Source organism: Homo sapiens, chromosome 10 (genome assembly GCF_000001405.40).
Source record: "Homo sapiens chromosome 10, GRCh38.p14 Primary Assembly".
NCBI lineage: Eukaryota > Metazoa > Chordata > Mammalia > Primates > Hominidae > Homo > Homo sapiens.
In genome coordinates, this window is record NC_000010.11 from 23,994,804 (window position 1) to 24,013,476 (window position 18,673).

Below are 18,673 nucleotides of genomic sequence, written 5' to 3' on the forward strand. Positions count from 1 at the left end.
GAATATGGAAGCATTGTTAAGCGTAGGTTGGATTTTCTCTTCATAACCAATACAGGATTCAATTTTGCTGGGAGCATGTCATCATTTATTTTCTTGTCTGAAATGGCTGTTTTTCACTGGTTTCAAGATCTGAAATATGAATGCATTATTTACAATTATGTAATACCCTTACCCTGAGCTGTAAAATAAAAATTAAAAAAACTTGCTTTTCCGTGTCTTTTAAAGTGTTGCCTCCAATCCATGTTATTAAAATTTAAAAGAGCCCAAGAGCAGCATTGGTAATAGCAGAGAACAGATTCACACTCAGATTCATTTTTGTTTAGCACTTGCCGTGTGCCAAGCATTGCCCTGGGAACTAGGAGTACAGGGGTGGCTCTGTTCCTCGGGGAGATCATGGTCTCCTGGAAGATCCTACAAAATAACAGAAGACCAAGTCCCCTGTGCTCTGGAGTAATTAGAATGCTGCTCTTAGCTTTTAGGCAAAAAGCTAATCAAATTGGTAAATGGGAAAAAGAAACACAATAGAATCCTTTCTGGAAAAACCACTGCTTAGGAAACCTGACATGTTCATAATTGCAGGATTTGGGGTAAAAACCCCTCAAAGCAAATTTCCTACTTTATCAATTCCATTACAGCCAATTATGGCCTGTGTGTGTGTGTGTGTGTGTGTGTGTGTGTGAGTGTGTGTGTTGTGTCTATATATAACGAAATTAGGGCAAATGGCTTCCTCATTATTAAGAGAGCATTTTTCCTTCCTACTTGAGTTTTCATTATTTCCTAAGTAATATTTTCTCAGTGCAATTTTGCAAATGTAAGATACCCGGGAATAGATACAGGTTGAAGCGGCAATCCAGGGACTGTCTCATAAAAGCATTGAGAAGTTTGGAAGCACATTAAGTTTTTAGATTGAAACAGCAATAAAATAATGTCACTGTGTTATGAACCAGGTGCTGCCTGCCTGCCTGATGTGTCTTGATTCTAATTAGTTAAACAGTAAAAATGGAGCCCTTATTTTTTTGGCAAGGTTAAGCGTATGGCTGAACATGCTCAGCACAGGACAGTGATTTGCAAACTCTGAATCCTGGTCCCCAGTCTATTCTTGACTTTGGGAAAGTCACTTCGCCTCTTGTTTCTTATTTCTCTTGAGTAAAATGGAAGCCATGAAACAGTCCATCTCACTGGGGTACCGTGATGAATGTCACAGATGATGGAAATATGCTTTGCAAATTCAAACTGGGGTTGAAATGTTGGTGCTAGCCCATAGCAAAGAGGTATGTGTCTGGTTTCATAGAGAAGCAACTCCCCTGCCTCCCTTTTTTGCCCACTTCTAGCCTCTGCATATGCCTAGAAGCACCAAGATCATTATTCAGCCATTTTTGCCCTTAAACAAACCAAATGCAGTCATTTCAAAGATATTCAGAAAGCATCTTGCCTTTATGCTCTTCAGGAAGCAGGAACCATGAAAATCAAGTTATTGTAGTTGTGCTTATGCGCCTTCTTGCCTCGGATTGACAGGGAAGGTATTGCATTTGGGGACCATAACCGCAAAATGGATTTATGATATAGGAAGGAGACAATTTCTCCATGTGGAAAGGGGAGCACTGGGCCGGTAATTCCTTGTGGTGAGTTTTTCTTCCCTAGACAGCAAACACAACGGCAGAAACTGTTATTTTCTTTTTTACTGTGTATCCAACACCTGTCACAGTGCCTGGTACACCGTAGCCCTACAGTAAATGTTCGCTGAAAGAATGTTGAGAAAAAAAATCCACTGTTTCACTTGAAACTGCTAATTGTCATACCAAAGTACTTGAAAACTGCATTTTCCATGAAGATCCTAAGTCATAAAACAACCATGAAATAATTGGAACTAATACTAATCCATTCATGTCTAAATTTATGTACAAAATTATAAAATTTTAATATATTTTAAAAGGCTTTTTTAAAAATGAACTTTAACTTTGATCTTTATTGTTTTTAGTAGATTTTTCTATAAGCCTGAATTCCCACAGTTCAAAAGAATGAAGAGAGATGCTAGTTTACCCTTGTATTGCGGAAACTCCAACAATACTTAACTAGCTCACAGGGGAAAATGGGATTTCAGTCACATGGTTTTTATTCTTATTTACTCCTGAGCATCCCAGTATTTTAAAATGTAAAGGCATAAAGAGGAGATACAAATGCCTTCAAAACTCACTGTTACTTCTTAGAAGCCCAGGATGACTTGAGAATTGAAAAACAGCACAGCTTCATGGTCTAACCTGTTTCGAAGGTGATTCCCAAGTCTCTTCTATGAATGCTTTGTACTGGGATTTCAACTGTTTGTGCTTTTAGTGTTTCTTAAGGAAGAAGCAGCCACATTTCATGATTCCTACCAACTTGCAGGAAGTTCTACTGTGAAAGAAGGATAAAAGAACTTAGTATTATTTTCAGGAGAAGGGTTACATTTTCCCACATTATCACATGTCCCCCCAAAAAGTATCATTGAAGGGAAAATTGAGGACTTCTTAAAAGAAAATAGAGTTTAAGGCCACTATGAAAAGAAATGCTTTAATTTTTTAATTGCTTGGGTCCATGTTCAATAAAGAGCTTCGCTAATCATTTTTCCTAATTACTTTGGCTAACTCACATTTGATGGGAAAAATATATATTGTGGAAACTGCAGTGAAATGTAAGTTGTTCTCCCATGTAATTAGTTTGTTCTGGGAGCTTATTTTTATTACAAAAATAATTTGTGGTAGGTAGCTATAGGAAGACGCTCAGGCTGGAAGGTTTCAGGATAATATTTTCTATGTGAAACCTTCTCTACCATGAGAAGTCATTTTATTCCTTGGAATTCAAACATATACTTTACATCTAATTCTAGATAGAGAGATGTAACAGACCTGGGCCTTTCACTGTCTGGCAGCATTTTGGTGGCCTTCTATCCATGGAGGGAATTAAAGGCTTCAGGCATCAGGGCCCTGTATATTCTTTCAGAGAACCTATCTCTGGGGCCCTGTTTCCCTTTCTTACTTGTGTCTCCCTCTCAGTGCCAGTTCAGTTATATGGGAGGTGTAGGGAATGGTGGAGGTTGGAAGAAGGGCACAGCCATGCCTATACCTGGAGTGATTTCTCCAGGGAACATTGACTGGTTTTGTTCATGGCTCCCTGAAGCCAGGAGGTATGGAGAAGGGGGCTTTCTTTTTTTTTTTCCCCCCAAAACTAATCTAACTGCCTGTTCTCTGAATCCCATTTATACCAACTCCCCAGGAATGTCCTCTCAACTATTTTCAATTTTACCCTCCGTTTGGCTCTTTCTCCTTTGCTTTCAAACATTAGTAAATTCACTTATATTTTTAAAAAGAAGAAAAAGAAAAAAAAAGACTTAACCTTAGCAAAGTCTTCAAACAAATATCCTTTACCTGGTGCCTTTATTTCTTTGTGTTCTCCTTCCTGACTTTTATGTACTTTGCAGTCTGGCCCCATCCTAAAATATCTTTATTGTTAAGATTTTAACTCAATAAAAATCAAACCTCAATGCAGAAAAGGACCCCAAGAGGTTGTCTGGTCTGCATCCAAATCTTCAGGCATCAGTGGCCATGCACTTGCCCCAAGAGAACAAATTTCCAGGACCCTGTTTCTCGTTCCTGCCTCTCTCTTGCTCTCAATGCTAATTCAAATACATGGGAGGCCAATGGAGAGCAAGCATTGCCCGACCTGGGGTGATTCCCCAATCTGCAGACAAGGCACAGGGGCCAACAGCCAGAGGACACTGTGTACTTCGATAAATCTTTTGGTGTTTTCTCATGCTCACCAATCTTTCTACCATGTTTGATACAGTTAAAAAGGCCAGTTCAATTTCCATGACACTATATTCTGAATTTCATTCTGAACAACAGGGGAGAATTAGTTGGGGAAACTGGGCACTTACAAAAGGTCTTACTGATTCTCTGGCTCAACAGAGAATTCTCATAAGCAGAGGGCCTTTGCATTGCATTGAAAATACTTTGATTCTGTGAGCAAAAACACAAGCATGGTTCGTATTGAGCATGGTTACTGATTTAAAAGCAATTCAAAGCTGAGTGTACACTCCAGATTTAATGTTTGGCTATGGTTTTTATTTAGAAATATTTCAAGACAGAAAGAAGGCATTGTAAAAGTTACAGCACAACAGATGGTATATTTGGATATATATTCAAATATGCAGACTAGATCTCTATCATTGGGATCGCTTTATATTAATATTTCTGAAAATAACTATCACTAAAAATAGCCATATACAGTTTTTTTCTGCTTTTCTTCTGGGCACTGTTACACAATTTATAAGAAAACAACTGCATTGCCTTTTAAAATCAGAATACAAATAAAGCGGTTTGCATGGTTGTATGTATATTTGGTGTTGCTGTTGGTTGCTTTGTTTAGTCTGTTGGTTGATTTGAATTAGGAAGATTCAAAAGAACAGGGTGAAACCTGTGTGTTTGCCCCAGGGAGGGTGCCTCATTGCAAGAATCAGGACCTGGGATAGGAGACAGAGAACTCACTGACTCTTGAGTAGCTGGAGGCAGTGTTGGACCCTGGCAGCACCAAGTAGGCACTGACAATTAAGGAGCAGGAGCAATGTGGCCAGGGAACCACCACTGCCATCTCTTGCCACAAGCCACTCTCACACTGCTGCCACTGCTACTTCTACCCTTCGCGTCATCTTGAGTCCTTCCCTCAGGGTTTAGAGTAGAGCCCACATCACCTACCTGGACACTGGTGGCCAGGGATGGTGCAGAGATGGGGAAGGCGGAGGGAAACGTCTGAGAAGGGTCTTACCCTTTCCACTTAGATTAAGGGATGAGGGGGTAGATTCGCTGACATGGCAGAGAATTTCCCAATAATGCGAAGGAGTTTTGAATGGTGGACTCTCCCGCAATATTCAGTATAGAAGGGGAAATGTATTAGAACACTCTGACTAATAAAAATATCATGTGCCCTCTATTGATTTATTAAGATTACTATAGTGATCCCTCCCAAGTGATTCCAGCATTTTGGGAGGCCAAGGCGAGAGGATCGCTTGAGCCCAGGAATTTGAGACCAGACTAGACAACATAGCAAGGCCCTGTCTCTACTAAAAATTAAAAAAAATAATAATAACTGGGGATGTTGGCACAAGTCTGTAGTCCCAGCTACTCAGGAGGCTGAGTGGGAGGATCACTTGAGCCCAGGAGTTTGAGCTTACAGTGAGCTGTGATTGCACCACTGCAGTCCAGCCTGGGTGATAGAGTAAGACCCTATCTAACAAACAAGCAAATGATTACAGTAAACCTCATAAAAGTGTTGGAAGCATGGTTCATATATTATCATAATTTCTAGCATTGTATACTTTTAAAATCCAACTCAGTAAAAGTATACCTTTATATAACTAGCGATATGGTTTGGTTGTGTCCCCACCCAAATCTCATCTTGAATTATAGTTCTCATAATCCCCACGTGTCGTAGGAGGAAGCAGTGGGAGGTAATTGAATCATGGGGGGCAGTTACCCTCATGCTGTTCTAGTAATAGTGAGTGATTTATCACAAGATCTGATGTTTTTATAAGGGGTTTTTCCCCATTTTGCTCGGCACTTCTCCTTGCTGCCACCATGTGAAGAAGGACAGGTTTGCTTCGCCTTCTGCCATAATTGTAAGTTTCCTGAGGCTTCTCCAGCCCTGCGGAAACGTGAGTCAATTAAACCTCTTTCCTTTATAAATTACCCAGTCTCTCGTATGTCCTTATAGCAGTATGAGAACAGACTAATGCAATTAACATCGGGCATTGAGTAACACAATGTGTATCTTGTAGGTCTGATGTCATTTCTGTGCCATGCAGTATCCTGGGGCACAAGTGGTGATCTGAACAGTCATGGAAATCCAACTGGCTTTTCAACTGTACCAAACACGCTGGAAAGATTGATGAGCATGAGAAAACACTGTCAGATTTATTCAAGTACACAGCTTCCTCTGGCTGTTGGATGCCGTGCCTTGTCTACAAATTGGGGCTTCACCCCAGGTCGAGCACTGCTCGCCCTCCGTGGGCCTCCTGTGTGTTCAAATGGGCACTGAGGGCAAGTGAGAGGCAGGAAAAAGAAACAGCATTCTGGAAATTGGTTATGTGGGGGAAAATGTGTGGACTCTGATGGCCTGAACTTTTGAATGAAGACCAGATAATCTCTTGGAGTTCTTTAGTACATTGAGGTTTGATTTTGTTGAATTAAAACCTTAACAATAAAGATATTGCAGAATAGGGCCAGACTGCAAAGTAAACACACACACACACACACACACACACAGCTGCTTTAATCGCCAATGTGAGTATATTTTAATTGAAATGTTGCTCTACTTATAATTTAACTAATATGGCTCATCTTACATAATATAATCACTGTCTTTATGTAATAATTGGAGTTACTTATGTACTATTTTCCTGACCCCATTCATTCATACATCTGCCATGCTTCATATGCAAATGTCTGTCACAGAGCAGCCATTCGGTGAGTTCTTATTACATGAATGATCAAACTGAACTATGCGACAAATATTATTTCTGGTGTGAGAAACACAAAATGAGTAAGGCACAGGTCCTCCTCCAAAGAGTTCAGATTCTAGTGGATAAGATAGAAAGTAAACAAGTATTTAAGTGACATAAGATATGCTATAATAAGAGATACATGAAAATATTCTTAGCATTTATTGAGCCTTTACTGTATACCAGGGAGGTTACTATATGGTTCACAGATAGTTATTTTATTAAGACAACTAAATGGCATGTGTGTATTTTTATTACCATCATTATCATTTCCATTTTATAGATGAGGAAACAGTCTTTGAGAGGTTAACTGATATAGAAAGTGGTGATTTGAATAGGAAGATTCAAAAGAATAGTATGAAGGCGGTGTTTGCACCAGAGAAAGTTCTTGATTGTAAGAAACAGAAGTTTGCCTGAGCGAGGGGAATGTCTAAACTCAAACCCTGAGCATCTCATCTGGAGGGCACACTCTTAGCCACTACTTCATGCCATACTTAAACAAGGAGGAGTTTGCTATGGTTTTCACAGAAGAAAGAGTGCTGCTCTGGTATCTTGCAGGCTGTGTAGGTGATTTTTTTTTCAGGCAGATACTGGATATTCCAGACAGAGGGTGTCACACACAGCAAAGCTGGGGTCATGAGAGAACATAGTTGAATAAGCAACTGCCAGTAGTTCAGCCGTGAGTTGGGCATTGGATCCCTATGGGGTCTGTGATAGTAGATGAGGCTGGGAAAAGAAACCAAGAGGCAGGCAGCTGATGCCGACTGTGGTAAACAATCTCACGGGGCTCTCAGGGCTGTGGATATTATTCTCAGGAAGGTGAAGAGCCACGGAAGGAGGGGAGATGAGCAGATTTGTGGCAATTGCCCTCAATCTCTTACCGCCTAATTCTCCTTACAGCTGGTAACTAGCAACTTCTAGTCAGGGCCACAGTCACTTGTGGTTCTTTCCAATTCATTCTTAGTCTCCTCTCTCCACAGAGCTCAGGCATAGGTTGTCCAGGGCTGGGCCTGGGTCAGCTCCAAGTCTTAGGTCACACACTTTACTCAGATTGCCCCCACCTCTAACCACGGAGGCACTTTTAGAACATTCCAGAGAACTTGCCTCTCTCCTTCTTTACAAAAATTGCTCCTGCTGTTCCAGGCCTCCTCAGATGCCCAGTGGGTCCACCAGAGGCTCTGGCGGGGACCTCTGCTCCATCCGACTTCAGATGTTACCTTGCTTCACATTAAACCAGCAATCACTGGCAATTAAATGTATTATTTAATAAGGACAAAATTAACCCAAACCCCTCTCTTTTATATCCTTCAAATGCTATTTTTTAAATTTTATTTTGGTAGTTTTGGGGGTACAGGTGGTTTTTGGTTCCATGGATAAGTTTGTTAGTGGTGATTTCTGAGATTTTGGTGCACCTGTCACTCAAGCAGTGAACACTGTACCCAGTGTGTAGTCTTTCATCCCTCACCCCCCTCACACCCTTCCCCTTGAGTCCCCAAAGTTCATTATATCATTCTTATGCCTTCGCATTCTCATTGTTTAGCTCCGAAGTTATAAGTGAGAGCATATGCTACTTGATTTTCCATTCCTGAGTTACTTCACTTGGAATAATGGTGTCCAACTACATCCAGATTGCTGCAAATGCCATTATTTTGTTCTTATTTATGGCTGATTAGTATTCCATGGTGTATATATTCCACATTTTCTTAATCCATTCACTAGGTGATGGGCACTTCTGGTGGTTCCACATCTCTACAATTGTGAATTGTGCTGCTATAAACATGTGCATGCAAGTGTTTTTTTGTTTTTTGTTTTTTGTTTTTTCATTTTTGGTAGATACCTAGTAGTAGGATTGCTGGATTGATTGGTAGATCTACCTTTAGTTCTTTAGGGAACCTACACACCGTTTTCCATAGTAGTTGTACTAGTTTACATTCCCACTAGCAGCATAAAAGTGTCCCCTTTATACGACATCCACGCCAACATCTATTATTTTTTGATTTTTTAATTATAGCTTAGCCATTCTTGCAGGAGTAAGGTGGTATCTCATTGTGGTTTTAATTTGCATTTCACTGATAATTAGTGATGTTGAGCTTTTTTTTATGTTTTTTGGCCATTTGTCTACCTTCTTTTGAGAATTGTCTGTTCATGTCCTTCAAATAGTATTTCTTTAACTCTGAATATCATCAACTGTTTCACATTTGATGAAAATGCACCTTACTTTCTTGCATTTCTATCTATTGTATGCAGCCAAGTTGAATTTCTCAAATGAGAAAATCTGACTGGTTGCCAGGGCACCAGTGGAAGAAAGTCTTTTGCAAAAAGGGGTGGGTTTCACAACTGCTTTTCTCACAAATACTGCGCTATCACAGGATAACTCTGATGATTTAATGTGTCACTTTGAATCACAGAATGTTTCTATAATTCTACTACTGTAGTAATTTGCAGTAGTCAAACAGGAAAATTGTGTTCATTCAGACTCAGTGGGTTTCATATTCCTATTGTTTCCAAAGTATTTTAATTTTTAAATAATTTGGAGTTTAACTGATTTGAAGTTCATATTTACTAAATAAACCCTCTCTTCCAAAGTCTTACGAACTGGGTAGCAACATCCAAAATATTTCAGAGACCTTTTTTTATTTTATTTTATTTTATTTATTTGCTTTTTGAGTAGGAGTCTCACTCTATTGCCCAGGCTGGAGTGCAATGGCACGATCTCAGCTCACTGCAAACTCGGCTTCCCGGTTCCAAGCGATTCTCCTGCCTCAGCCTCCTGAGTAGCTGGGATTACAGGCACACACCACCACGCCTGGCTAATTTTTGTATTTTAGTAGAGACGGGGTTTCACTATGTTGGTCAGGCTGGTCTCGAAATCCTGAACTCATGATCCACCCACCTCAGCCTCCCAAAGTGCTGGGATTACAGGCATGAACCACAGCACCCGGCCGAGGGCTTTTTATTTTATTCAAAGACAAGATTTTTCAGGTTAAGCCAAGTGGTCTTGATATACTCATCTTTTTTTAAAAAAACCCACAGACTGATCACAAATGTTCTTATTCATTCATTATAACAAAATTCACTAAGAACTTCCACTTGGCCATTTTTAGTAGTATAACTGGAATTACTCTATTTGTGTAAAAATAATAAAACTATATTTGGAACTATATTCTAATATACTTTTCAATTACCTCCCCAATTAGTCTGAATTCTCCAGATTAGATTCTAGAGAATTTTGCTTACTACGAAGAGATCCAAGCAATGGATTATTATTGCTAATTACTTCTCAACAAGATCCAGTGACCAGCAAATAACTCAAGGTGTATTTTCATGTCCTGTTGCAGTGCCCACACTGTGCATGCACAAATTGTCTGCCTTCTCATATACAACTTTCTCAGGGTGCTCTTTTCTTCTTCTCTCTCACATGCAGAAAGGGAAAAGAAGAGAGCAAAACTGTAGCCATTGAGGCAAAGATTTGGAGGAAGAAGAGCAGAAAAGATGAATACAAATGTTTGGAACAGGGATAGAATTGGGCCAATCTAGTGGGAAGGAAGGGCTGTAAGCTGTGGAACCAGGAGTGACCAGAAGCCTTGTTTGGTGTCCTGGAGGACCAAAGTGGGAAGGTTCGACAACAGGACTCAAGGAAAAGAGATGGATGGTGGGAGCAGCTTAGAACTTTCTGTCCCAAAGAGTAAACTTATTCACATAGAATTGTGAACTATTACACGCACAGAAAAAGAGTAGCCATGGAGAGAATGGGCTACGGAGTTAGACTGACTGGGATTTGGGATCAGGCTTCTGCCACTTACAGCGTGATTTTGGACAATGTAACTAACCTTTAAAAGTGTTGGCTTATTCATTTGCAGGATTGGGCTAACAATGCCTAGCTGGCAGGACTGTCCTGAGGATAACATGAGATAATGTATGGGGAACAATGCTTGGCACTCAATGTAAGCTAGTTATTGTCTATATTATTTTATATACATTTTTCAATTACCTCCCCTAATTAGTTCAAATTCACCAGATTTGACCCTAGAGGACTTCACTACAGGGACAGTCAGGCAATTGATTACTATTACCATTATTCTAATAATAATTTGAAGCAATCAAACAGCTATGTTTATGTCATTGGGCAAAATAATCACTCCTTCACCTGGTCACTGGTTTATGTAAGTGGAAGGATCCCAGACTTTGAAGTCACACTGACCTGGGTTCAAATCCTGAGTCTGCTACTCACCAGGAAAATAATTTTAAATCTGGAAACTCACTTTCCTTTATAGTAATGTGTGAGATCACTTCTACCTTTCCAGAGAATTGTTATTACTAAAAGTGATAACAATGGATTTAGTGTGGTGTCTTGTTAGAGTGCCAGGTAGTTGGCACATTGTAGTGATATTCAATTTTCAGTATTTCACAGTTTTGTTGTCATTCAGTGGCCAGTGGAACTTAGTGTGGTGAATGGAGAAAATGTTGTTCTAAGTATTAGACAAAACAAGAACTCAGAGTAGGTAAGAATGTGTGCAAAGTTTTATGACGAAGTGGTCACAGAATCAACACTAGAACCTCGAATATAGATTAGCAGAGCTGGGACCCTATCCTCTACTCATCAAGAACTTATAGCTTCATGTTGTTGGTAAAGAAACAGCCCAGAAATCAAATGGTTTCGCCAGGAACCTAGACTTCACCTGACATCAAGGCTACTCATCTCTCCTGTGTTATACGGTTTCAGTGGACCACTTTGATGCCCAAAAGAGCTTGAAAATAAAACTTTAAGTATGACAATATTCATAACTATTGAACTCAGCACAAGAAATAATTTAAATTGTATGGTCATAGCCAATATTTTAAAAGTATAATAGCATGAGTATTTCAGGGTGAAAACTCAACAAAATGTTTGTGATATGTGTTAATTGAGGCATAGTTCACATTTTAATAGCCTGGCTACTAAATGATGGTCAAAACTCAATAATGTGTTTCTGACATAAGTGTGTTCAATTACCTTTTTCCATACTTTTATCCATCATTTTCCTTCTCCTTAAAATATGTTTCTCAGGATCCTAAGAGGAGTTTACAGAAACAAATTTCTATTGGGAAAAATACTGTTTTAACCAGTTGCCTTATTCTGTGAGCCCCCAGTTTTCTGGCATCAAGTAAATCACTATAGTTTCCCACAGCATAGAAATCTACCAAGTGCAGGGGGAGGTTGCAATGTCAAGTTCATTCTTCTGGGTCTCCTCAACAATCCCAAAACCCTCCTCCACAGAAGAGGTGCCTCTCAGCATCATCCATAATTTTGAAATCTTTAGGCTTCAAAATTCCATTTAGACAGAAACCTTTATGTTGGGCAATTCATGTTCACCAATGTTCCAGGCTCTCCTACCTGTCCTTACTCCCATGAGCATGACCATGACCATGTCTTGTTTGGCATGGCTGAGGGAACCAGGCATCTCTGTGTAGCAGGCTCTTGGAGCGGCATAGCCACTGCAGCTGCACATCATCCTTAATAAAGGGATTAGAGATGCGAGTCTGCAATGGTTCAGCTTTTCATTCAGCCTCTCTGATTCTCAATTGGCCTCTCTTCATTTCCTTCCGCCCCCAACTACCTAAGCCAACTCTTATTTTCATGGTTGACTTAGTCGAATGTGTTTACTTTCCTTTATAGCGTCCAACTAATGTTTTGGGGAAAATACTGGAAAACTGAAGTTAACTTGAACTCTAACTTTGGATAACTATAAAGCCCTGTGTGTAATTACAAAGCATCCTGAGCCAGGCTGTATATCATAGAGGTATTTTATTCTTCAGTTTTTTCTGCTTTTTTTTTTTTTGCTATCCACTTGAGTTTTAATTACTCAGCAGTTCTGCAGTGGGAACAATTCCATTATGACTTGTATTTTACAGACGGAGATCCTGGGGTCCTAAATTTGTGGCCGATTGCACTGTGTCCTGGAGACGGAGTGGAACCACAGCCCAGAGCCCCTGGGAATCATCCCTGAAAGACTGCATTACTTCTCCATGGAGTCTTCCTCCTCCTGCTTATTTTCTTTTTGGGTAAGGTCTATCTTTTTATTAAATCATAAAATGAGCATCCATCATCTTGACAGTGAGTGAATTATGAGCTGTAGGCCTATCTATAAAACTTGGCTTCTGTTCATTCCCTCTCTGAGCTCAGTGGAACAAAATGTCCAAATTGAACCCTGCAATCTTCCCACAGGTATTTGTTCTGATATGTAGCTGCTTTATTTTTCAGTCATTCTTCCTTTGGTGTTGCGGACAGGGTTAGCACATATGTGTTATTTTTCAGACCATGTATTAGATCCATTTATATGCCTGTCTTTGTGTTCAGACTCTGGCTCAAAGCCATGATAATGACTAAAGAATACGAAAATGCTCAGAGAACATGAACTTTTTGGCAAAGGATAGAGGGAACGGTGTAGATACCTGATGACTGCCTGTGTCTATGGAGGGAATAGAATGAATCAGAAATAAGAGTTGTTTTTGGGTCAGTCCAATTATATGATCTTGATCAAAGTCAGGATCCCATAAAAGAGCAAAATTAATTTTCCAGTTTCATTGAGATCCCTTTGCTTTCCCCAAATCAGCCTACATGAGTGGCCTTGAGTGTCTGGAATGGTGAGATGACCAATTAATCCCCAACTTTAGCATATTCATTCAGCCTAAATTCTGTTCATAAATCCACCAGTTCAATATTTTATGCTAATAAAAACTATTAACGTTTTTCATTTTCTCCCATTACAAAGTTTTCATACAGCCCTCAACATTCTGCCTGCAAGATGTAAAATTTTGGTATTTAATCCATAGGAAGGTAGGAAATTAGATAGATAGATAGATAGATAGATAGATAGATAGATAGATAGATAGATTATTTATCTTGTCTCAATACCGTCTTCATTCAACTTGGTGTTTGGTTTAGTGAGCTGTATAAATCAGCACTCAGCCACATCACAGAGGGATAGAAGGGCCTTCGACATCATGGTCAGAGAATCATTGTCAGGAAGCATTAAACTTAGCTTCCTCAATGTCAGAATGTTTGCACCAGCTCTGACACAGGAAGTTCGCTTAATGATGGCAAAAGTTCCCTGAGTGACGGTAGAAAGTTTGCAAAATAGCTTCTGAATTCAAGCAACCAAAGAGGCTGTATCCCCTCCTTCTGTAAAGTGATATTGTTGGTAGAAAACCACCAGATGAAGGAGGGCATGCGGGTGCTGGATTTTGTGCAGCTAGAAAGCTGGTAGGTAGGTCCTGTTTAGTCTGTGCCAGAAGCCAAGCAAGCTTCAGAAAGGGAGTTCAGGAGTCCTCTCAGCTCCCGGTGATTTACCCTGACTTCCCTTTGTAAGCATATGGATTCTATTTTCTGCTGTCTCTATAAATACTGTTGTGACTGTCTCTGCCAAACCAGCTACCTTTCTCACCCCAGGGAGAAGCCAGGGATCAGACATTCCTACGCTACCGCCCCATTAGATGCTGCCGTAACACGAGGGAGCAGACCTGGCAGTCAATATGATGTGTGTATTTGAATCTTTAAAGAGCTAGGCTAAACTTAGAGTCAGCAGACTACCATAAATAACCTGTGTTCCTCTCTCTTTGTGTGGTTTGCCCTGGAATGCCTTGCGCTTTAGCGTTGTACAAGCAGCAAGAGATCAAAGAGTCAACCTTTTATGGATGCATAGTTCATTACAAAGTCATCCGTGGGAGGAGACCCTGGCAAAAGCACTAATCATTCTCTCTTGTGACTGTTTTGTTGCCTGAATTGGGATTGGAGGGCACTAAAAGAACTTGCAACCACTTTAAATAATTTTAAAGAATAAAATAAAGCTGGAAATTCACTTTTAAAGGAGGGTTAAAACTTAACTGGCATCTTTTTTGGGTATAGAATGTGGTAGGAGGAAAGAGGAAGTAAAGGAATTGGCCCATTATCACATGGAATGTGGTTGGAGAAGAATAATAGAAGGCAGAACAGAATCCTGTGTAATTTACTTACCCTTGGGTAAGCGTTAGAGAGAGCCTTTGATAAGCAGAGCAGAACATCGACAGGGATTTTTTTTTTTAAAGCCCAAACTAGATAATGTATTTGAAAAACAGGCTTTGAACTAGTTTGCTAGAATATAAAGAATAAATGTGTTTCAAATTATAGCACTAATGATGTTGCAAACCCAGGATTATGGATAATCACAATGCTACAAAACAATAGCTACTATTTATTTGATGTCTGCTGCATGTCACATGCTGTGCAGTGTATGTGATATCTTTTCATCTCACAACCATGCATGGGGTTGACCTGTTGGTTATCCCCACTTACACACAGGGAAATAGGACCCTGCAAAGTTGAAATGCTTAGCTCAAGGTCACACAGTCACTAAGTGGTAAGCCCAGGATTTGAACCGAGCTCTGGAAGGAAGTGGAAATGACTACCTCTTAGCCTGTAGTTAATATTTCTGGCTCTTGACACTTGTTCTAGTCTCTGCTGCAGGAGTTGTTGGAACTCTTTTGCTTTCTGAGCTTGGGAGATTCGCTCTCAAAGACTTACTCTGTGATTAAGACTTACTCTGTCTGAGCTGAATGTGTGTATCTGTATGGGGGCTCTGTCCTTGTGGTTGTCCATAGGCAGTCAGAATTAATTACTCATAAAACATTGCATAGATAAGACTTTTGATCTGGCATTTTGGAAGTTAGGGGTTGGATATCTTATAAAAGAATGTCTGTTGCATACTTGATCAATTACAGTGATAGCTAAAGAAACATTTTCTCAAATGTATTATTTTAACAGGAATCATGTTCTAGCTTCCCATCCTTTAGCTTACTTTAAGTTTCAGAAAACCTGGACTGTATGAACGCTTTTTAAAAAAAATGACAGGGTAAAATGCAAAAAAAAAAAGTCAATGATTACAGTCAATAAAGTCTCAATGGCTCTGTATCCCTGAGATCTTTTGTTCTTGTCACAGATAAAAACTGCATCACAGAAATGCCACAAGATCAAATGATTAAGATGATTGGAAAACTACAATGCTCTATAAATATTACTTTCTTTCTGTTCTTCTCAGTGATACTACCTTTGTTCAACCCATCTCTTCCTGCTGTTTTAAAATAAAAAGTTTTTTGAAAGTCAGAAATAAAAGCAAATAACTGATCGATCCTTTTTTTTTTTTACCAATTTCATAGCAATTGAAAACATCATCCAAAATACTGTAGATCTTCCCCCCCTTCAAGTTTTCTTGAAAGATTTCACACGTGCAGTGTAAGAAATTGTGAGTCAGCCTTCTCCAATCCTGACTTTAAGAGTTGCAAAAATCATCTGCCAGGGATCACATATGTTCTCGGTTCCATGAGAGGAAGAAAACACATTTGCTGGAAAAAAAAAAAAAAGGGAACTTTAAAACCAGTGGAGTTAGAATAAATACACTTGCATTCTGCTAACTTCTTTTCCTTTCCAGGGCCTGAAGGCTTTTCTGGCCCTGGACAGGAAGCAAGGCATCTGTCACCCCAAATACTGCCTCTCCGGGATGGGGGTTCCAGCTGGTCATGGAAGGGAAGCAAAGGAAGTGCAGAATGACCAAAAGATGGGATTAGGATGCAGAAATAATAAATCTACAGCAACTACTTTTTGAAGCCAAGACATCCAACAGCTATAAGTCCAATCTCTCCTTAAGACCTCACAACACTCCAATATGATTGGTAATAAACTTCAGTCTGCAGTTGAGACATGACTTTTAGCAGACTAAGGCACTTGGCTAAGGTCACATAGCTAGTGAGCCAGGTAGGGAAGAATACCAGAGCCTGTGAGTGTAGTATTTCATGAGTAGCATTACCTATGGAACCTCCAGAACATTGGATAGGTATTTCCATCTAAGAAATTGTCTTCAGCCTGGTGCAGTGGCTCACACCTATAGTCCCAACATTTTGGGAGGCTGAGGCAGGAGGATCTCTTGAGGCCAGGAGTTTGAGACTTGCCTGGACAACATAGCGAGACCCCATCTTTACAAAAAAATTTAATAATTTACCAGACGTTGTGATGCCTACCTGTAGTCCCAGCTACTCAGGAGGCTGAGGTGGGAGGATCACTTGGGCCTAGGAGTTTGAGGTTGCAGTGAGCTGTGATCATGCCACTGCATTCCAGCCTGGGTGACAGAGTGAGATCTTGTCTTAAAATTAAATAAATAAAATTGTCTTTTTAAAAAAAAGCAGAGAAAGAGTCTCCTAACATCCTAAAGCAACAGCTTACTGGCAAGTACTAGTGCCTCCATGTTAACATTGCAGAAACCAGATTCAAACAAGTTGTGAGTTTCTCTTGAAGCAAAAGAAATCAATTACAGGGAAAATGGAACTCTCAACTTAACACTCAACTTAAGAAATTTAAAAGTCATTTCATGATGCTTTGCCCTTCTTCACCTCTCACTGAAACAGTTCTGTTCTTCAGTAATTGGTGTTGGGTTGTTCCCGTGGGTTGACAGTCAGCATGTTTTTATTTATTAAATGGTGTAAGTAAAAATTGATGTGGTGGAACAATCATGGCAGTCTCTGCCACAGAACAAAGGCTTTTTCCAAACCAGCATTTCCCCCATAACATCTGTGAAGATGTTTCATGTGGATTTTCCTTCCCCAATATCCAATGGCATTATTTCATGTTCAGATGGAAATGACAGTGACATTTCATTTGACCAAGGAAAAATAAAAGGAAAGAAAGAAACATTTCTACATTTAACAGAACCCAAAGGCAATTTGAAAAACACTTTGGAAGCTTATTTCCATTTTACGATCTAAAGCAGACCTAAGGTGTATCTGTAGACAGGTGGTGCTGGTTGCAGTTCTGCTGTGAGCCTTTATGAAAAGGATTATGTTGACTTTCTGAGAATATTTCAGGACTCAGCATCTCAAAGGACTCCAAAATGGTGGTTTTAAACTCCCATTGAAATGGGTCACAATATAAATCCTAAAGAGAAAACCAAGCCAGGTAAACCTAGGGTCTTGGCTCCACATCAAACCTCACAATTTGAAGCCCAGGTTATTCTTACAACTCTCTTAAGACCTCTAAGCCCATCCTCACTAGCCACAGCCTGGGGCTTCCTTGATCCTGCTAAAACTGAGCCAAGAAGCAAAAGCTCAGTGAGTGTCATTTTGCATAGAACTACTAAGCAGGATAAAGAGAAGCAGTAGGAAAGGAATTCCCCAGTCACAGAAAACTAGGGTGTCTGATTATAAGATAGTAGTCTCTTCCTTCAAGGCTGGTGGGTAAAATTCTCCCTTGTGCCTTTGAATGAGGGATTTCCCCTAAACACAATACTGAAGTTTGTATTTAGTTGCTGGAACCCTGGAGACTGGGGACTTTTTTAAAAGGCAGAACTTTCAGAGGAAGCTGGAATATAATGCCTATTATAGTGAACTGTAACTTAGAAGTACCCTGTAGAGACAAGAGAAGTCAAGGTTGTTTCTTAACACAGCTTTAACAAAAAATGTAAACTTTGGTTGGATTAAGCTATTACTGATCTCATGCTTCTGTTGGTAGAAAATACACCTTTTTATAAACAGAACTATTTTGGGGAGGATGATAAATCACATCCTAACGCATAACATTTTTATGATTTAAAGACAGTTGGTCCTCATTACATGTGGATTCTGTATCTGCAAATTCTAATACTCGCTAAAATGTATTTATAATCTTCAAATCAGTACTCATGGTACTTTTGCAGATAAGCACAGAGTGACAATAAATTTGAGTCACTCAAAGTACATTGTAAACAAGTGTCCCTTTCACGATCTATTTGGTGCCATATTTTTTTGCATTTTTATGCCTTTTGCATGTTCAGTGGTGATTTCACTGTTTAAAAATGGCGCCCCTAAGCAATGTACTGAAGTACCGTCCAGTGTATCTAAGCACAAGAAGGCCAAGATGTGCCTTACAGAGAAAAAATACACTTGTTAGACAAGCTTCGTTTGGGCATGAGTTATAGTGTTTTTGGCCATGATTCAATGTTAATAAATCAAAATATATATATTGAATATTTATGTTATTTCAATATACATCTATATATTAATTATATATTAAATAAGGTGTCTTTAAGCAGAAACACACATAAAAAAGGTTATGCATTAATCAGTGGACAAAAGCCAAAGGCTTATAGGAACCAAGCCCCGTAT

General features: G+C 39.6%; 1 protein-coding gene across 1 annotated transcript in view; it reads left to right on the top strand.

Moving 5' to 3' along the window:
• Positions 1-18,673, top strand: part of KIAA1217 — an 853,117-nt gene that overhangs the window by 300,077 nt on the left and 534,367 nt on the right. Inside the window, exon 2 of the mRNA NM_001098500.3 lies at positions 12,422-12,571. The gene's annotated coding sequence lies outside the window, so the exon portion shown is untranslated. The remainder of the gene's footprint in view (positions 1-12,421; positions 12,572-18,673) is intronic.